This window comes from Homo sapiens, chromosome 4, assembly GCF_000001405.40.
Source record: "Homo sapiens chromosome 4, GRCh38.p14 Primary Assembly".
Classification (NCBI taxonomy): Eukaryota; Metazoa; Chordata; class Mammalia; order Primates; family Hominidae; genus Homo; species Homo sapiens.
Window position 1 is genome coordinate 2,550,568 of NC_000004.12, and position 21,011 is coordinate 2,571,578.

The following is a 21,011-nucleotide window of genomic DNA, read 5'->3' on the forward strand; positions in this document are numbered from 1 at the left end:
CTGGGATTACAGGCATAAGCCACCACACCCAGCTAATTTTGTATTTTTAGTACAGACGGGGTTTCTCCATGTTGGTCAGGCTGGTCTTGAACTCCCAACCTGAGGTGATCTGCCCACCTCGGCCTCCCAAAGTGCTGGGATTACAGGCATGAGCCACCACGCCTGTTGGTTGTTTTTTTTGTTTTTGTTTTTTCAATTTATATTTTTATTTATTTATTTATTTATTTATTTATTTATTTATTTATTTATTTAGAGATGAGTCTTGCTCTGTCTCCCAGGCTGGAGTGCAGTGGCGCCATCTCGGCTCACTGCAAGCTCTGCCTCCCGGGTTCACGCCATTCTCCTGCCTCAGCCTCCCAAGTAGCTGGGACTGCAGGCGTCCGCCACCACACCTGGGTAATTTTTTATATTTTTAGTAGAGATGGGGTTTCACCATGTTAGCCAGGATGGTCTTGATCTCTTGACCTCGTGATCCGCCTGCCTTGGCCTCCTAAAGTGCTGGGATCACAGGTGTAAGCCCTGCCTGGTCATTTATTTTTTAATTGCTAGACTTAAATTCACTAAATTTTATTAAGCATTATTGGTCTGTTTTCATGAGGGATGTTTGTCACTAGCTTTCTTAAATTGTTTTTGCCTGATTTTGGTTTTACAGGTTGAATATCCCTTATCTCAAATGTTTGGAACCAGAAGTCTTTTGGATTTCAGATAATTTCACATTTGGGAATATTTGCATTATGCTGATTTAGCACACCAAATCTGAAAATCTGAAATCAGAAATGTTCCAGTGAATTTTTCCATTGAGTGTCATGTCAGTGCTGAAAAAGTTTCAGATTTTGAAGCATTTCAGATTTTGGATTTTTGCATTTGGAATGCTTAATCTGTAGTATTAATGCTGGCTTCATTAAAGTAAGATGGGAATTATTTCTTTCTCTATGTTAGTATCTGATTTTCAAGGAATTGGTTCATTTCATCTAAGTATTTGAATTTATGTGTATAGAGTTGTCTGCAGTATTGCTTTATTATCCTTTTAATGTCTGTGGGAGTCTGTAGTGATGTCTGCCCTTTCATTCCTGATATTAGTAACTTGTTTTTACCTTTTATTCTTCCTTGCCAGTCTTAATAGAGGTTTCATCATTTTTTAAACCTTTTTGAAGAACCAGCTGTTGGTTTTACTGATTTTTCTCTGTTTTTCCGTTTTCAGTGTGTTTGATTTTTTTTTTTAAACACTTTGCCTTATTATTTGCTTTGGGTTTGTTTTTTATTTTTATTTTTATGTTTTATTTTATTTTAAGAGGCAGGGTCTTGTACGGTCTCCTAGTCTGGAGTGCTGTGGCTTGATCATAGCTCACTGTAACCTTGAACTCCTGGACTCAAGGGATCCTTCCACCTCAGCCTCCTGAGCGGCTGGGACTACAGGTGCAAGCCATCATGTCTGGGTAAATTTTTTTTTTTTTTTTTTTTCGAGACAGAGTCTTGCTCTGTCGCCCAGCCTGGAGTGCAGTGGCTGGATCTCGGCTCACTGCAAGCTCCGCCTCCTGGGTTTACGCCATTCTCCTGCCTCAGCCTCCGGAGTAGCTGGGACTACAGGTGCCCACCACCACGCCCGACTAATTTTTTGTATTTTTAGTAGAGACGGGGTTTCATCGTGTTAGCTAGGATGATCTCGACCTCCTGACCTCATGATCCGCCCGCCTCGGCCTCCCAAAGTGCTGGGATTACAGGCGTGAGCCACCGCGCCCGGCTGATTTTTTTTTGGTATTTTTTGTAGAGACGGGGTTTTGCCATGTTGCTCACGCTGGTGTTTAACTCCTGAGTTTAAGCAATCTGCCCACCTCTGCCTCCCAAAGTGCTGGGATTATAGGCGTGAGCCACCGTGCCTGGGCTTTTCTAATGTGAATATTTAATGCTATAAACGTCTCTCTGAGCCATACTTAAGCTGTATCCCACAAATTTTGGTATGTTGAACTTTCTTTTCTTTTCTTTTTTTTTGAGACGGAGTCTCGCTCTGTCCCCATGCTGGAGTGCAGTGACACGATTTCTGCTCACTGCAAGCTCCGCCTCCTGGGTTCATGCCATTCTCCTGCCTCAGCCTCCTGAGTAGCTGGGACTACAGGCGCCCACCACCATTCCTGGCTAATTTTTTGTATTTTTAGTAGAGACGGGGTTTCACCGTGTTAGCCAGGATGGTCTTGATCTCATGACCTCGGGATCCGCCTGCCTTGGCCTCCCAGAGTGCTGGGATTACAGGTGTGAGCCACCGCGCCCGGCCACAGAACTTTCTTTTTTTTTTTTTTTTTTTTGAGACAGTCTTGTTCCATCGTCCAGGCTGGAGTGCAGTGGTGCAGTCTTGGCTCACTGCAACCTCTGCCTCCCAGCCTCAAGCAATTCTCTTGCCTCAGTCTCTTAAGTAGCTGGGATTACAGGCGCCCGCCACCATGCTCAGTTAATTTTTTGTATTTTAGTGGAGTCAGGGTTTTGCCATGTTGGTCAGGCTGTTGTCAAACTCCTGATCTCAAGTGATCCACCGGCCTCGGTCTCCCAGCGTGCTGGGATTACGGGCTTGAGCCACTGTGCCTGGCCGAAGTTTCATTTTCATTCAGTTTAAAACACTTTCTAGCTGGGTATGGTGTTGTATGCTGTAGCTCCAGCTACTCAGTAGGCTGAGGCAGGAGGACCACTTGAGCTCAGGGGTTCCAGGCTGTAATGCGCGATGATAGGACCTGTGAATAGCCAGCCATTGCACTCAAGCTAGGTCCACATAGCAAGATCCCGTCTCTAAAATAATTAAGTAAAGTTCTAATTTCCCTTCTTTTTGTTTTTTTTTTTTTTTTTGAGGCGGAGTCTCACACTGTCGCCAGGTTAGAGTGCAGTGGTGCGATTTCGGCTCACCGCAACCTCTGCCTCCCGGGTTCAAGAGATTCTCCTGCCTCAGCCCCCTGAGTAGCTGGGACTACAGGCGCGCACCACCATGCCTGGCTAATTTTTGTATTTTTAGTAGAGATGGGGTTTCCCCATGTTGGCCAGGTTGGTCTCCATCTCTTTACCTCGTGATCTGCCCGCCTTGGCCTTCCAAAGTGCTGGGATTACAGGCGTGACTTCTCCTTTGACTTACAGTTTATTTAGAAGTTGGTATGGTTTGGCTATGTTCCCACCCAAATCTTGTCTTGAATTGTGGCTCCCACAATTCTCGTGTGTTGTGGGAGGGACCTGGTGGCAGGTAATTGAATCATGCATGTAGGTCTTTCCCGTGCTGTTCTCCGTGATGGTAAATAAGTCTCACGAGATCTGATGGTTCTGTGAGTGGGAGTTTCCCTGGGCAAGCTCTCTCTTTTTGCCTGCCACCATCCATGTAAGACCTGACTTGTTCCTCTTTGCCTTCCACCGTGATTGTGAGGCCTCCCCAGGCATGTGGAACTCTTTTTAAACTTTTTTTTCCCAGTCTTGGGTATGTCTTCATCAGCAGTGTGAAAATGGATTAATACAGAAGTGTGCTGTTTAATTCTGTTATCTCTCCCTTTTATTTATTTATTTTTTTGAGACTAGGTCTTACTCTGTCACCCAGGCTGGAGTGCAGTGGCACGATCTCGGCTCACTGCAACCTCTGCCTCCCGGGTTCAAGTGGTTCTCCTGCCTCAGCCTCCCTAGTAGCTGGGATTACAGGTGCCCACCACTGTGCCCAGCTAAGTTTTGTATTTTTAGTAGAGACGGGATTTCACCACGTTGGCCAGGCTGGTCTTGAACTCCTGACCTCGTGATCCACCCCGCTCAGCCTCCCAAAGTGCTGGGATTACAGTCTTGAAACCACCGTGTCCGGCCACCTGTATCTCTCTATTACTGAATTTTTGTCTGATTTTTACCATTGTTAACATCAGAGATCATTCTTTTTATGATTTTAAGTTTTTCAAAAAATTTAAGGTTTTATGGTCTGTTTTGGTAAATGTTACATATGAACTTAAAAATGTATGTACTACTATTATTGGATGGTTTCTGAATGTCAATTAGATCCAGTTGGCTGATAGTTTTTTTTTGGTTGATGGTTTTGTTCGCTTCTGTATTCTTGCTGAGTTTTTGTCTACTAGTTCTTTTGATTGCTGAAAGAGGAATGTTGAAGTCTCTGCCTAAAATTGTAGATTTGTTCACTTTTCCTTACAGTTTATTTAGCTTTTGCTTCATGTATGTTTGAAGCTGTGTTTGATGCATATACATTTAGGATTGTTAGGTCTTGGTGAATTGACCCTTTGTCATTTAAGCTGTATCCCTCATCCTTGGTAGTTTGCTTGTCTCTAAAGTCGCTTTTGTCTGATACTACTAATATAGCCTCTCCAGCTTTCTGCTAATTAATATTGGCATGTTATATTTTTTCTATCTTTTTGCTTTAAACCTATCTATATTATTTGAAATGAATTTCCTGTAGATAGCTGCCTGATTATTCTTCATTAATTGTGCTTATTCATATTTTCATTTTTAATTGTAATGTGTATGTGAAATATACTTATTGGAGACCTTTTTTCCTGGCCTAATAACTAATTTAATATTTATTTGGTGCTATTATAGGATGCTGCTTTGCATTGTATTTGATAAAGTTCTCTTTACTAGACTTTTTGACCTTGTAGGCTTTGTAAACTGATTTGCTAGATTACATGAACATGGTGACACAAGCCATCTTCATTTTAGAGTTTGACCAGTATGAGTTCAAATCATAGGCCTCTATATGTCATGGGCCTGTATAACATTTATTTTGTTTTTACTATGGAAGTAAGTTTTAGCTGGGCTCTATGGCTCACACCTGTAATCCCAATAATTTGGGAGGCTAGAGGTAAATATATAAATCCCAGAACCATCTAAAAATCTATAACTTGGTGACCAAATTCTAGATAATATTGGGGTCCAACCGATTTTGAAAACTTATTATATTTTAATGGAATTAACAGCTGGGTGCAGTGGTTTACAACCATAATCCTAACACTTTGGGAGGCCAAGGCAGGAGGATCCCTTGAGCCCGGGATTTTGAGACCAGCCTGGGCAACATAGTGAAACACTGTTTTTTGTTTGTTTGTTTTTTGTTTTTGAGACAGAGTCTCGCTCTGTCACTCAGGCTGGAGTGCAGTGGCGCAATCTCGGCTCGCCGCAAGCTCTGCCTCCCGGGCTCACGCCGTTCTCCTGCCTCAGCCTCCGGAGTAGCTGGGACTACAGGCGCCCACCACCACACCCAGAGAATTTTTTGTATTTTTAGTAGAGACGGGGTTTCACCGTGTTAGCCGGGTGGTCTCGATCTCCTGACCTTGTGATCCACCTGCCTCGGCCTCCCAAAGTGCTGGGATTACAAGCGTGAGAGACACTGTTTTTTTTTTTTTGAGATGGAATTTTGCTTTTGTTGCCCAGGCTGGAGTGCCATGGCCTGATCTCGGCTCCCTGAACCTCCAGGTTCAGGCGATTCCCCTGTCTCAGCCTCCCGAGTAGCTGGGATTACAGGCATGTGCCACCACGCCTGGATAATTTTGTATGTTTAGTAGAGGTAGGGTTTCACCATGTTGGTCGGGCTGGTCTTGAACGCCTGATCTCAGGTGATCCGTCCGCCTTGGCCTCCCAAAGTGCTGGGATTACAGGCATGAGCCACTGTGCCCGGCCAGTGAGATACTGTCCTTTTTTTGTTGTTGTTGATGGCGTCTCGCTCTGTTGCCAGGCTGGAGTGCAGTGACGCGATCTCGGCTCGCTGCAACCTCCACCTCCCGGGTTCAAGCAATTCCCCTGCCTCAGCCTTCCGAGTAGCTGGGACTACAGGTACGCACCACCAAACCTGGCTAATTTTTTGTATTTTAGTAGAGATGGGGTTTCACCATGTTGGCCAGGATGGTCTTGATCTCCTGACCTCATGATCTGCCTGCCTTGGCCTCCCAAAGTGCTGGGATTACAGGCGTGAGCCACCACGCCCGGCTGAGATACTGTCTTTACAAAATAAAAGAAGGGAGTCAGGTGTGGTAGTGTGCACCCACAGTTCTAGCTACTCAGGAGGCTGATGTGGGGGGATCACTTGAGCCCGGGAGGTCGAGACTGCAGTGAGCTGTGATCATGCCACAGCACTCCCGCCTGAGTGACAGAACAAGACCCTGTCTCAAAAAAGGAAATGTTTTAATTTCTAAACTACCTTGGAGTAATTCCAATAATGTTTGTGGGACAGAATTACTGCTTGTTGTTTTCTTGAGGAAATTGACTTTTTCCCTTACGTAAGTTAATAGAGGGTGATGTCAAGTAAAGAACATTGTTCTCTTGAATATTTTGAGCACCATGTTAGATAGAGCTTGAAACTGAATGAGAGGTTGTAGAATCTAATTCTTATGGCACAGGATTTTTAAAAATAAACTTTTTATTTTAGAATAATTTTAGATTTACAGAAAAGTCACCAAGATAGTACACTGGTCCCCCATTACCTGCAGGGGATCCATCCCAAGACCCCTACTGGATGCCTGAAATTGCAGATAATACTCAACCCTAAAATATACTATGTTTTTCCTATATATAGTACCTTTACCATAGGTAAAGCTTAATTTGTAAATTAGGCACAGTGAGAGATTAACAACAATAACAGTAATAGGACAATTATCACAATACATTGTAATAAAAGTTATGTGAATGTGGTATCTCTCTCTCAGAATATCTTATTATACTGTGCTCACCTGTTTTTGAACCACAGTTGATCACAGGTAACTCAAACCACTGAGAAGTGCAGCTGTGGATGAGGGCGATGAGGGCATACTATTGAGCCTGGAGTTTGTGCATTCTCTTCAGCCAGCTCTCCCTAATATGGATATTCTAGCGAACCTTGGTATATTTGTCAAAACTAAGAAATTAGCATTGGTACAACATTATTAACTACAGATTATTTGGATTTTTAAAATGTCCTGTTTCTGTTCCAGGATCTAATCCAGTACACCACAGTGCATTTAGCAGCCCAGAATTTTCATTCTTTTTAGTTTTCTCACCTATGAAATGGTGAAGCTTTTTATTTTCTTCAAAGGATTCCTGAGAAGCTAATTAATATTCAGATTTATAGTATGGTAGTAATTTCATGCTCATGCTAAAATTCAGTAAAATGGTTAACTTTTGGCTGGGCACGGTGGCTCACGCCTGTAATCTCAGCACTTTGGGAGGCTGGGATGGACGGATCATGAGGTCAGGAGATCAAGACCATCCTGGCTAACATGGTGAAACACTGTCTCTACTAAAAATACAAAAAATTAGCCAGGTGTGGTGGTGCACGCCTGTAGTCCCAGCTACTCGGGAGGCTGAGGCAGAAGAATCGCTTGAACCCAGGAGGCAGAAGTTGCAGTGAGCCAAGAACGTGCCACTGCACTCCAGCCTGGGTGACAGAGTGAGACTCCGTCTCAAAAAAAAAAAAAGTTAACCATTTAATAGTGTACTACAAGGCTGGGCGCTATGGCTCATGCCTGTAATCCCAGCACTTTGGGAGGCCGAGGTGGGTGGATCAGTTGAGGCCAGGAGTTCAAGACCAGTCTGGCCAACACGGTGAAACCCCGTCTCTACTAAAATATGAAAGTTAGCTGAGTGTGGTGGCGCATGCCTGTAATCTTAGCTACTGGGAAGGCTGAAGCAGGAGAATCGCTTGAACCGGGGAGGAGGTTGCAGTGAGCCTAGATCGTGCTACTGTATTTCATCGTGTTTGACAGAGCGAGACTGCATCTCAAATGAAAAAAAAAAAAAAGGAAAGAAAAAAATAGTGTACTACAATCTAATTACTTTTCCTAAAAATACTTGGTAATTATTTCACTTAGGTGAAAGTAGCCCACCAAGGCAAACATTGTCTACGAGTTACTAGTTAGAGTACAGTCCCTATTGCCCAGGCTGGAGTGCAATTCCGCCGTCATAGCTCACTGCAGCCTCCAACTCCTAGGCTCAAGAGATCCTCCCACGTCAGGCTTTCAAGTACCTGGGACTACAGGCACGGGCCACCACACCCAGCTAATCAAAATTTTTCTGGGGGGGATGAGATCTTGTATGTTGCCTAGACTGGTCTCAAACTGTTGGCCTCAAGCAATCCTCCTGCCTTAGCCTCCTGGGTATTTGGGATGACTGGGATCACAGGCGGGAGCCACTGTACCTAGCTGTTTCTGTCTTTAAAAGCACACAAAATCAGGCTGGGTGCAGTGGCTCACGCCTGTAATCCCAGCACTTCGTGAGGCCGAGGTGGACAGATCACTTGAGGGCAGAGGTTCGAGACCAGCCTGGCCAACATGGTGAAACCCCGTCTCTACTAAAAATACAAAAGTTAGCTGTTCATGGTGGCATGTACCTGTAATTCCAGCTACTCAGGAGGCTAAGGCAGGAGAATTGCTTGAACCCAGAGGGTGGAAGTTGCATGAACTGTGATCGTGCCACTGCACTCCAGCCTGGGTGACACAGTGAGACTCCATCTCAAACAAAAACAGAAACAAGAACAGCATAGGAAGACGGCTATAGCTATTGTTAATATTTTTCCTTCCTTTAAAAGAATAATGGGAGGGTTTGGATCAATGATTTCAATTAAATACCGCTGCACAAACTGAATTGAACTGTTCTTTGTGTGTTTGTACATTTACAGATGTCCACACCTGTATTCCACTGGGAATGCTAAGATGGTCAAATCATAGATGCATAGAACTTCAGAACTGGAGGGGACAACGACAGAGCCCCTGTTTATTGCCAAGACAGTATTTGTTAGCTGAGGAAACTGAGGCCCGAAGACTTGAGTTTGAAAAATTCCTCTAATTGTTGTAGTCGGTGTCCCCTCACATACCTTTCAATTTCTGTGGCTTTTGTCACTTCTCAGTACCAACTGAGATAAAGAAACCACCTTGCTATTCTTTTTAAATTTTTATTTATTTCAGAGACAGGGTCTTGCTCTGTCACCCAGTCTGGAGTGTAGTGGCACAATTATAGCTCATTGTCAACTTGACTTCCTGGGCTCAAGCAATCCTCCCACCTTGGTCTCCCAAAGTGCTGGGATTACAGGCGTGAGCCACTTTGCCCAGCCCTGTCCTGCTAGTCTGGTCTTCCTTACTCTCGCCGTAGTCTACTGCATTTTCTCTTCTCTGTGAACACACTCTGCTGCTTCCTCCTCCCTCTGGATGTCTTCCACCTGCCTTTGTACGTGAGCACCAGGACGTCTTGAGCTTTCTTTGACGGCCCCTCTCTTGTTCCTGCCAGACTCCGGCTGCACGGACAGCTGAGCGTCCTTGCCGTTCGCTTCCTTTTGCCTTGCTGTTCCACTGCTGTTGCGGTGCCTGTTGGGTGCTGCGGTGATCCTGACCTGCTTGTGTAGTGCGGCCTGCGTGGCCTGATCGGGCCGGGTTTTTCTTGCCTCTGCGCCTTTGTGCACGCTTTTCTTTTCTTTTCTTTTTTCCTTTTTTTTTTGAGATGGAGTTTCACTCTTGTTGCCCAGGCTGGAGTGCAGTGGTGCGATCTTGGCTCACTGCAAGCTCTGTCTCCCTGGTTCAAGCCTGCCGAGTAGCTGGGATTACAGGTGCCTGCCACCACACCCAGCTAATCTTTTGTATGTTTAGTAGAGATGGGGTTTCGCCATGCTGGCCAGGCTGGTCTCAAACTCCCGACCTCAGGTGATCCACCCGCCTCGGCCTCCCAAAGTGTTGGGATTACAGGTGTGAGCCACCGCGCCTGGCCTGTGCAGGCTTTTCTTTCCAGTGAGTTCTTCTGTCTTTGCCTGATTCGCCCCTTTCTGAGATGGAGACCATGCGCTGTCCCCATGGGAAGCATTTCTTCACCGTCCGAGGCCAGGCTGTACCTTCCCTTCTGAGTTCCTGTGGTGCCTGTCCTGGCTCGGCCACACCACTTAGACTGGATTGGAACATCTAAACTGCGCTGTGGCCTGCTTGGCACATAGTACATAGGCAGAAACATTGCTCAGGGAGCCAGGCCATTTGATGTGAGCTTCTGCATTTCTTCCCTCTTCACCTTTCTTTGGGACGTCTTTTGTCTTTTGATTTGGAAGAAAGCATCTATCCATTTTTCCAAAGTTAACTGCGTGCTCCAGGGGTTGTTAACTGATGGTTTTTAATGAGTCTGTTAATTCATGGAAACTCAGTGCAGAATTTATGTGTAGTACGTTATCTTGAGGCTTCTGCAAAACAGCTTTGTCGTTTCTCTCCTGTGTCTTGAATCTTTCCACTTCTGTTGGGTTATTTTCCTTTGTATTCAGATTGTGTCTTTCTTCCCTTCCTCTTCCTCAGTGTTTTTATTTTTAGTTTTTGTGGAGGCAGGAGCTCACCATGTTTCTCAGGCTGGTCTCGAACTCCTGGGCTCAAGTGATTCACCTCACCTGCCTCAGCCTCCCAAAGTACTGGGATTACAGGCATGAGCTGCTGCACCTGGCTCCCTTTGAGCTTTTGGCACATGACTGTGATATCCACCTTTCTAGAACTTTCTTTGCCTTCCTGTGCATGGCACCATGCCATTGTAGTTCTCCTCCTGACTCTTGCTTTGCTTACTCTCCAGGCTTTGGTGAACTTTTATGTCCTTACAACACCTTGCTGTAGGTTATTCTATGTTGAGTTCTTCCTCTCAAGTTCACACTTAATATGTTAGGCATATATGCTGGTAGAGATTTCTTTTTTCTTTTTTGAACAGGATCTCGCTCTGTTGCCCAGGCTGGAGTGCAGTGGCGCAGTCTCAGTTCACTGCAGCCTCTGCCTTCCGGGTTCCAGGCAGTTCTCCCATGTCAGCCTCCTGAGTAGCTGGGAGTACAGGTGCGTACAACCATGCCCGGCTAATTTTTATATTTTTTGGTAGAGACAGAGTTTCACCATGTTGGCCAGGCTGCTCTCAAACTCCTGCCCTTAAGTGATGGGCCCGCCTTGATCTCCCAAAGTGCTGGGATTACAGGCATGAGCCACCATGCCTGGCTGCTTGTAGAGATTTCTTTTTTTTTTTTTTTTTGAGACCGAGTCTCACTTTGTCGCCCAGGCTGGAGTGCAGTGGCGCAATCTCGGCTCACTGCAACCACTGTCTCCCAGGTTCAGGTGATTCTCCTGCCTCAGCCTGCCGAGTAGCTGGGATTACAGCTGCTTGTCACCATACCTGGCTAATTTTTGTATGTTTAGTACAGACGGGGTTTCACCGTGTTGGCCAGGCTGGTCTCGAACTCCTGATCTCAAGTGATCTGCCTGCCTCGGCCTCCCAAAGTGCTGGGATTACAGGCGTGAGCCACCGTACCCGGCTGAGATTTCTGATGACAGAAACTCAAATGGGTTATCAGTAACCCTCTAACATTGTGGATATTTATTAGAATGTTGTTTGAGGCCTTTTCCCCCCATAGCTGTGGCTTGTGAACTCAACTTGTGTATGTTTAGATCAAACTCTTCTTCCCATATTACAAAATAGTGCTTAGGTATTATTGGTTTGTTTGCTAAGTAACTTATCAAAAGGAGTTTTGTCTAAAGATCTCAGGTCATCTGTATGTGGTTGTGCACTGGACACAGTTTCCACATCTGTCAGGTAAGAAGATTGTGTTAGATAATCTCGAAGGCCTTTTATAACTTTATGATAATTGTAATTGTCACTCTTTCGGTCAAAAGATTTCAGTGACTAGGCCAGGTGTAGTGGTTCATCCCTATAATCGCAGCACTTTGGGAGGTTGAGGCAGGAGGATTGCTTGAGCCCAGGAGCTTGAGACAAGCCTGGGCAACATAGGGAGACCCTCGTCTCTACAAAAAATATAGAAAAAATCAGCTGGCTGCGGTGGTGCGTGCCTGTAGTCCTAGCTACCCAGGAGACTGAGGCAGAAGGATCGCTTGAGCTTCGGAGTTAAACACTGCAGTGAGCTGATGGCACCACTGCACTACAGCATGGTGGCAAAGCGAGACCCTGCCTTTAAGATCATTTAAAATTTCGACGACTGCTCTTCACCCCTTTCAAGAGTCTCAGAAACTCTAGGATGTAAGGAGTGATGATCCCTTAGGCTGTAGGAAAAACACATTACTACTTATATTTCTAAATAAGGCATTGAACTTTACAAAAGTGGCACCCACCCCCCAACTTGATCTGCATTTCCTTTTTTTGTTTTTTTTTTTTTAGACGGAGTCTTGCTCTGTTGCCAGGCTGGAGTGCAATGGTGAGATCTTGGCTCACCGCAACCTCCGCCTCCCGGGTTCAAGCGATTCTCGTGCCTCATCCTTCCCAGTAGCTGGGATTACAGGCGTCCACCACCATGCCCAGCTAATTTTTGTATTTTTAGTAGAGACAGGGTTTCACCTTGTTGGCCAGGATGGTCTGGAACTCCTGACCTCATGATCTGCTCGCCTTGGCCTTCCAAAGTGCTGGGATTACAGGCGTGAGCCACCACACCTGGCGATTTGCATTTCTTTCTTTCTTTTTTTTGTTTTTTTGAGACGGAGTCTTGCTCTCTCGCCCAGGCTGGAGTGCAGTGGTGCAATCTTAGCTCACTGCAACCTCTGCCTCCCAGATTCAAGCGATTATCTTGCCTCAGCCTCCCAAGTAACTGGGATTACAGGCGCCTGCCACCATGCCCAGCTAATTTTTGTATTTTTAGTAGAGATGAGGTTTCACCATGTTGGCCAGGCTGGTCTTGAACTCCTGACCTCGTGATCCGCCTGCCTCTGCCTCCCAAAGTGCTGGGATTACAGGCGTGAGCCACTGCGCCTGGCCTTTGATCTGCATTTCAGTCATGGGTGAGTCTTAATCTGTTCTGAGGCAAGAGAGACACTTCCAATTCAGGAATTTGTATGCATGACACAGCTGTGGAAGCCTTGGCATTTAATGAGCACTCAGTCAGTACATTCTTGAGTTCTGCTAATTTTAATTAAACTGGTCTTCACAAAAACAGAGACTGGGCATGGTGGCTCCCACCTATAATCCCAGTACTTTTGGGAGGCCGAGGTGGGAGGATTGCTTGAGGTCGGGAGTTCAAGACCAATCTGGTCATCTCTACAAAAAAAAACAAAAAAAAAAACCTCCCAAAACCAAAACAAGTAGTCTTCAAAGAAACTCTGGATCAGAGATAATGCTAATAGTGTGTGTGGAACAACAAGGACATTTATGGCAGAACCAACACTTCCACTTTCTGTGCAAGCTCTTCATTGGCCATGTATGAAGTTTAAAAAAATGATCTCAGCAGAACTGGGAATCAACCCTCAAAGATTATTTGAAATCTGGATTTACATCCACTTTTATTAATGACAAGCCATGCCTGAAGTGTTTATCTTGCCTTGAGATGTTAGGGAAGGAAAGTATATAGAGCCTTCACATTCACCAAAATATTTTAAGCATTCATAAGAGAAACATCACCTATAAATTTTCAGCTGTATTTAAAGTCATGCACTACACAATCTAGTATTTTATAAAATTGTATTAAGCTCAGAGAAACTCCTTTTTGAGTTTTCTTACTTTTATTTCTGTATTGCTTAGGGTTCAGATGCAGAAGCAGCTGTAGTTTTCATAGGCAGGCATTTAATACGGAGAATTAGTAGCATATGGCATTTAAAATTATTTATTATATTTGTTTATTTTTTGAGACAGGGTGTTGTCTAGGTGCTGGAGTGCAGTGGCGTGATCATGGCTCACTGCAGCCTCAACCACCCAGGCTCAAGTGATTCTTTCATCTCAGCCTCCTGAGTAGGTGGGACCATAGGCACCTCTACCAACCTGGCTAATTTTTTTTTTATTTTTTGTAGAGACGGGGTCTCACTTTGTTGCCCAGGCTGGTCTCAAACTCCTGGGGTCGAGTAATTCTCCTGCCTTGGCCTCACCAAGTGCTGGGATTACAGGTGTGAGCCACCACCCCTGGCCAGGAGCATGTAACTTTTTGAAAGGTCTAGTGGAAAAGGCTCTTGTCTGGGCTTCCATGAATGACTTCCATCACAAAAGGACAGCATTCAGCTGTGGAGGTGGAGGAGCCAGTCTGCACCTCTGCCACAAGTATCTAATATTGGAGACAAAATAGCCACCTACTATTTGGGAAAAGTATTTTCGAACTTTTTTGTACTGGAAAAAGTGCTATTTTTCCAATAGGGGGTGGGGGAGTGAGCAGAATGGCAGAAATAATACATAGGAAACAATATGGCAACAAAAGAAATATATTATTTTGTCAGCAAATATTTTTGGAGTATTCATAGAATCAATTCCAGGAGATTTGGAAGAGTAAATGGTTAGAATAAATGATGGTGTGGGGGTTTGCTCTGGGATGATGGAAACACTTGTGGTTTTTTTTGTTCTTGTTTTTTATTTTTGAGATAGGGACTCACTCTTGTCGCCCAGGTTGGAGGGCAGTGGCACCATCCGTTGCTCATTGCAGCCTGAACTCCTGGGCTCAAGAGATCATCCTGCCCCAGAGTAGCTGAGACTACAGTCACATGCCACCATGCCTGGTTAATTAAAAAGAAATTGCAGAGCCAGGGGTCTTGCTGTGTTACCCAGGCTGGTCTTGAACTCCTGGCCTCAAGTTATCCTCCCACCATGGCCTCCCAAAGTACTGGGGGAGTATAGGAGTGAGCCACTGCACCTGGCTACGTGGGTATTTTTATAGGTGTTAGCCTGTTTTTTTTTGATAGATTCCAGTTGAGTACTCTTTTGATGAGACGCAAGCTTGTGGATTCTGAAATGATTTCATTAGTAAACAAGGTTTTGTGGGAAAACTGGATATACACAATGATAGAGTAGCCTTTTTTTTTTTTTTTTTTTTTTAAAAGATGCAGTCTCCCTCTGTCGCCAGGCTGGAGTGCAGTGGTGCGATTTCAGTTTACTACATCCTCTGCCTCCCAGGTTCAAGCAATTCTCCTGCTTCAGCCTCCGGAGTAGCTGGGACTACAGGCGTCCACCACCACCCGGCTAATTTTTGTATTTTTAATAGAGACAAGTTTTCACCGTGTTGGCCAGGATGTTCTCGATCTCTGGACTTCGTGATCTACCTGCCTCAGCCTCCCAGAGTGCTGGGATTACAGGCGTGAGCCACCGTGCTCAGCCAGAGTAGCCACTTTGTAATAAAAAAAAAAAATTCATGTAGTCCGTCAGGTAAGAAACAAAGGTAGAAAGAGATTCTTGGGTAGGGCAGGATTGCAGAAAGAGTAACATGAGAAATGGGTTCACCACATGATGCATAGGGAACTGCTTACAGCAACCAGTTGAAGCCAGAAGCACTAATGGGTCAGCCTGAGACCTTTATAGAGTAGTACATCTTCACAATATTTTGTAATGACGGGGGAGTAACTGAAAGTACTTGGCAAGACACAGGGGTTTGCTGGCTATCTTTTGGCAAAGGTAAAAGCATTGCCTATTCTGAAGGTGAATTGAATGTTTTTCTTTTACATAAAGGTAAGTGGTCTAAATTTACAAACCTTTGCTGTAATAAGTGGCTGTCAGTAGAAAGCTATCTAGCAAATCCAGTATTTTTGAGAAAAAGAAACACGTAATCTGTCCCCTCAAGGTAAAGGTGACATTTTAACAATGAGTGGAAAATTGCTTTTTTTTTTTTTTGAGACGGAGTCTCGCTCTGTCGCCCAGACTGGAGTGCAGTGGCACAATCTTGGCTGACTGCAAGCTCTGCCTTCTGGGTTCACGCCATTCTGCTGCCTCAACCTGACGAGTAGCTGGGACTACAGGCGCCCGCCACCTCGCCCGGCTAATTTTTTGTATTTTTAGTAGAGATGGGGTTTCACCGTGTTAGCCAGCATGGTCTCGATCTTCTGACCTCGTGATCTGCCCACCTTGGCCTCCCAAAGTGCTGGGATTATAGGCGTGAGCCACCGCGCCTGGCCAATGGAAAATTGCTTTTTGATAGAAGGTTGCTGTGATGAGCGTTTTGTAAATGGACGTTTAGGCCAGTTGCGGTGGCTCACACCTGTAATCCCAACGCTTTGTGAGGATGAGGCGGACGGATCACTTGAAGTCAGAAGTTTGAGACCAGCCTGGCCAACATGGTGAAACCCTGTCTCTACTAAAAACAAAAATTAGCTGGACGTGGTGGTGTGCGCCTGTAGTCCCCAGCTACTCGGGAGGCTGAGGCAGGAGAATCACTTGAACCTGGGAGGCGAGGTTGCAGTGAGCCAAGATCACACCACTGCATTCCAGCCTGGGGGACAGAGTGAGACTCTGTCTCAAAAAAAGAAAATGGATGTTTAGAATTGTCTCCATTGTGTGTGTGTGTATATTTGCTAAGAATAATGTAAATAGTCATTTTACTGCACACTTAAACTTGGAAATGAAATTTTGCAGCTTGTTTAAAAGCTTCCTTTTGTAACAATAGTGTCTTGAACTTATTAAAAATACAAAAATGTGATACCTTCTGATTACTATGTAAGAACAAGGAACTCTGATGAAGAAGATGTAAATTGACTAGCTGAATTTCTTTTTCTTTTTTTTTTTTTTTGAGACGGAGTCTCGCTCTGTCGCCCAGGCTGGAATGCAGTGGCACAATCTCGGCTCACTGCAAGCTCCGCCTCCCAGGTTCACGCCATTCTCCTGCCTCAGCCTCCCGAGTAGCCGGGACTACAGGCGCCCGCCACCATGCCCGGCTCATTTTTTTTTTTTTTTGTATTTTTAGTAGAGACGGAGTTGCACCTTGTTAGCCAGGATGGTCTCGATCTCCTGACCTCGTGATCCACCCGCCTTTGCCTCCCAAAGTGCTGGGATTACAGGCGTGAGCCACCACGCCCGGCCTGAGCCACCACGCCCGGCCTGACTAGCTGAATTTCAACAGAAACCTTGCATAATTGATTGATGAGATTGAAAACCAGTTTTCATAATTTAGCAAGTGCAGCCAATGATATACTTCTACTTCGCTATATGTATCTTTGAGTGGGACCTTTTTCAGCAAAGACTGCCAGTAAAACTGACTCTCTAAATAATTGAATTTAGAGTACTCCTAAGATCTGGTTTTAACACAAAGTATTCAACCAAGATTTTTAAAATAATGAGGTACAATCATATTGATCTCCATAAGTTTTTTTGTCATGATTTTTGGTGACACAACAAGTTTTGTGTTGTTATTAAAAAGTATGTGAGAAGATGATTTTATTTTCATCTCATTGTATGTTTTTATATTTTGTGTATTTTTTTAATGAACATAAATTACATTCATTAACTGCTGCAGAGTGCCTTCTGCGTTACCAGTAGGAGTTACAGGGTGATCTCAAAAGCCGTGCACCTTGTGCCATGCCCAGATGAACAGGCACGGTTGTGTAGACTCAGGATATGTGTGCTCAGGCCTTACTGGCCAGGTGTCCCTGCCGATGAAGTCTGCTAGTGACTGAACAGGGACTTCTTGGGCACCTCAATCATCTCTCCAGGTGGGTCCCTTCCTCCTTTCTTCCATTACCCTGTGCCTCTGCAGGGGTGTGGCTGTTGCCCTCCAGCACGTCCTGTTTTCCTGTTGGGGTCATGGCTTCTGCCTTCGCCCTTCAGAAGCCTGTTATCTACTACTTCTCGTCTCCATTTCCCACCCCTTCCTCCTGGTTCTGCCTCTGAGAATCCTTCAGAGCTGGCTTGATGCCGCCTTTTCTATTCCACTTACCTTCCAACCACAGCAGCAACTTCTCTAGTGATACTTTACACCTTTGTTTTACCTATACATTGATTATATTTTATGAGATTGGATATTTTAAAAAATATGATGTTAGCTGTGGGCTTGTAAAATTTTTTTTCAAAAAGATTGGAAGTTTATTGAATGCAGAACAATTTTAAGGCCTAGTACGTTGTTCATAGCCAGTAAGTGTTTCTTGACTGAATCAAGTAAGATACAGAATTAGGGATTTTAAAAAATTGTCTAAAAATGTTAATGTCAGTGGCTGGACATGGTGGTGCACACCTGTAGTACCAGCTGCTCAGGAGGCTGAGGAGGGAGGATCACCTGAGCCCAGGAGTTGCAGGCTACAGTGAGCTGTGATTGTGTCATTGCACTTCAGCCTGGGCAGCAGCAAGACCCTGTCTGTAAAAATAAATAAATAATTTTAACATCATATTTGGGTCTGTAGAAGTTTTCTGCCATGTGAATTTAGACAGAGGCCAGCCAATTTCGTCTGATTTTCAAATGTACATTCTAAGCCAGCATTCCCCACAGTGAGGTGTGTGTTGTTACCAGGTGTAGTGACCAAAGTATAAAGGGAAAAAACGAGAAGCATTCCAGTGAAAAAGGAGGAGTGATTATTTGGAGAATAATAAATCTTAGTAACGATTGCTTGAATGTGGCTTTTTGTGTACAACACAGTTGATTAGAAATTTAGTTACTTCTGATTCTAGATTATAGAAGGATTCTGTTAAGATTGTTCTTTTCCTTTTCCTTTGGCATGGAACCTCAGAAGGTACAGGATAAAGACTTTAGATCATTCTGGATGTTTAACACTAGTGTGGTTACTCATTCAGATTTCTTTTGTTGTTGTTGTTTTGCTTTTTTTTTTTTTTTTTTTTTGATCTTGCTCTGTTGCCCAGGCTGGAGTGTAATGGTATGATCTCGGCTCACTGCAACCTCTGCCTCCTGGGTTCAAGCGATTCTCCTGCCTCAGCCTCCTGAGTAACTGGGACTACAGGTGTGCATCACCGCACCTGGGTAATTTTTTTGTATATTAGTAGAGATGTGGTTTTGCCATGTTGGCCAGGCTGATCTCGAACTCGTGAGCTCAGGTAATCCACCCTGGCCTCCCAAAGTGCTGGGATTACAGGCATGAGCCACTGCGCCCGGTCCAGATTCTTGTGTAGAGCCAGCTGATCGGAAACCCACGTGAGGGGTTGAGAAAGTGTCATGGAAACTCTGTTGCTAACAGTGGTGGAATATAACCTTCCAAAAATTGGATTTTATTTAGCAGTAATACAAAAGCAGCCCAAAGGTAGTTTATCGAATCCTATTTATTTTATTGTCATATTTAAGCACAGTTGTGCAGATGTGAGTTTGGTGCTATTTGCCATTTTTATTATTATTAAAACAAATTCTTTTTGAGACAGGGTCTTCTCCGTCACCCGGTCCGGAGTGCAGTGGCCGATCATGACTCACTGCAGCCTCAATCTCCCAGGCTCAAGCTATCCTCCTGCCTCTGCCTCCCGAGTAGCTGGGACCACAGGCATGCACCACCACACCCGGTTAATTTTTAAAACTTTAAAAAATTTTTAAAAGCTGGTCTTGCTGTGTTGCCCAGGCTGGTCTTGAACTCCTGGGCTCAAGTGATCCTCCTGCCTCGGCCTCCCAAAGTGTTAGAATTATGATTGTAATCCACTGCACCCAGCTGCTAATTCCATTAAAATAAAATAAGTTTTCATAATTGGTTGGACTCCAGTATTACCTGGAATTTGGTCACAAAGTTACAGATTTTTAGATTGTTCTGGGATTTATATATTTATCTCTAGAATTTTAGGATGGCAAATTGTTGAGGGGGACCATAATTTGATTTCGTCTCATTCAGATGCTCTTGAAGTTTGAACCACACTGTTAGGGTCAGATGCTGGATAAGTCAAATACATCTGGAGGTTTTCACATCTAATAAGTTACAGAAACTGAGAGTATGACTTTTCTTCACTTTTGGGTATCTTCTGAAATTGTGACTGAACTGCTAAATAGCCCAAAAGTACTTCAGAATCCGGGATTCTGGACAGTAGTGAATGTTCGTAGTCTCCACATGCCATTAGTTAAACTCATTGGGCCGGTTTGAATCTGTACTTCCTTGAACAAATCATGGTACCCTTATGTCTCCCTGCAGGGTTGAATTCAGTGTGTTCAGATATCTTCTGTTTGTAAGAAAGCAGTACATTCTATGAGTTACTGTGGATTTGGTAACCCTAACTCTGAATCTAAGTTCAGAGAGTCATTCTGTGCTAAAGAAGCAACTCTAAATCGCTGCAGTGAGCTTTGGTGACATGGCTCAGGAGATACTGAAATAAACCAAATCTCCTTATGTTTTTTTCCTCCATATATCTTTAACTTTTCCCAAGGTTCCATGAACTGTTACCCTCCTTGCAGAGGTCATGCCACATCTTTCGTTATAGGACACAGCAGTAAAGGGCCCTCTAGCCTGCTCTCTTGACTGGAATAATGGGAACTCATTTCTCCCCATCATAGTGACACAGGAAATAAGCCTTGCCATGTCTAGGTGCAAGGCTGTGGGCAGTTTAGGAGACAGTGTCTCTGTAGGGGGACCAGTTACCCCATGGGTACAGGCCTTGGTGAGCTCCTCCTCAGATCAGGGCTAGGCTAGTTTTCAGGCCCCACTCCCCGGCCTGGGAGCTTTTGTGATTTAGGAGAATGCGTATTTACTGCAAGTCTCACTCACAGATGGGCCTTACTCAGGTGGTCATGTATCCTGGGTAGTAAGTCAAGCACTTTGAGTACCGAACACACAGGGCCTATTTCTCTTCTGCCGTACACTTCCTCCCCTACCTCTGCCTGTTGTATTCAGGGTTCACACACTCAGTTTCGCTTACGGAGTGGGTGGGGGTGTGGGCAGCTGTCTGTGCTGTGGCTCTCTCCCTATGGGGGACTTCGCAGAGCCTCTTTCCTGCCTTGTCACCTTACCCATAGGCTCTGCTCTTTAGTGACTCCCTCCGCGGCCCCAGCCCTTCCTCCTGGCAGCTTCCAATGATGTATTACTGGCAGTGTTGCTTTGTCTTTAGTTCACATTTCCCGTAAGTGGACCAAATTATGTTTTTATGACAGGCCTTGTTGTGGGTCCTGAAGAGAACAGCTGTATTGTACAGGCTGCCCTGTACCCCATGGATTAATTATCCATTCTGAGCCCTGGAGGAGAGGGCAGGTTCTAGAGTACCAGGCAGATGTGGCACCACCTTGCCAGCAGCTCGGAGACTGGTACTTGTTGGCACAGTGAACTTCTGTTTGGTTATGTATAAAAAATTTAGATTTGTACTAGGGTTTTGGAAGTGAATGGCTTCTGAGGTAGAAGTCCTATTTTATTTAAAGATGTCTTTGTGGAAAAGGGTTTTGAGAGGTATGTGTAGAGTGAAATTCTAGAGCAGAACTTTTTTTTTTTTGACACAGAGTTTCGCTCTGT

General features: G+C 44.7%; 1 protein-coding gene across 7 annotated transcripts in view, besides 3 other annotated features; it reads left to right on the forward strand.

Annotated features, from left to right (window-relative positions):
- Positions 1-21,011, forward strand: part of FAM193A (family with sequence similarity 193 member A) — a 197,199-nt gene that overhangs the window by 15,193 nt on the left and 160,995 nt on the right. The window lies entirely within an intron of this gene.
- Positions 4,677-5,513: an enhancer, noted in NCBI's record as "H3K27ac-H3K4me1 hESC enhancer chr4:2556971-2557807 (GRCh37/hg19 assembly coordinates)". NCBI's record gives its function as "activates a minimal SCP1, AML or CMV promoter by ChIP-STARR-seq in primed H9 embryonic stem cells {active_cell/tissue: H9 hESC(primed)}" and the evidence as "EXISTENCE:reporter gene assay evidence [ECO:0000049][PMID:30033119]".
- Positions 5,514-6,349: an enhancer, noted in NCBI's record as "H3K27ac-H3K4me1 hESC enhancer chr4:2557808-2558643 (GRCh37/hg19 assembly coordinates)". NCBI's record gives its function as "activates a minimal SCP1, AML or CMV promoter by ChIP-STARR-seq in naive and primed H9 embryonic stem cells {active_cell/tissue: H9 hESC(naive and primed)}" and the evidence as "EXISTENCE:reporter gene assay evidence [ECO:0000049][PMID:30033119]".
- Positions 9,445-9,983: an enhancer, noted in NCBI's record as "H3K27ac-H3K4me1 hESC enhancer chr4:2561739-2562277 (GRCh37/hg19 assembly coordinates)". NCBI's record gives its function as "activates a minimal SCP1, AML or CMV promoter by ChIP-STARR-seq in naive H9 embryonic stem cells {active_cell/tissue: H9 hESC(naive)}" and the evidence as "EXISTENCE:reporter gene assay evidence [ECO:0000049][PMID:30033119]".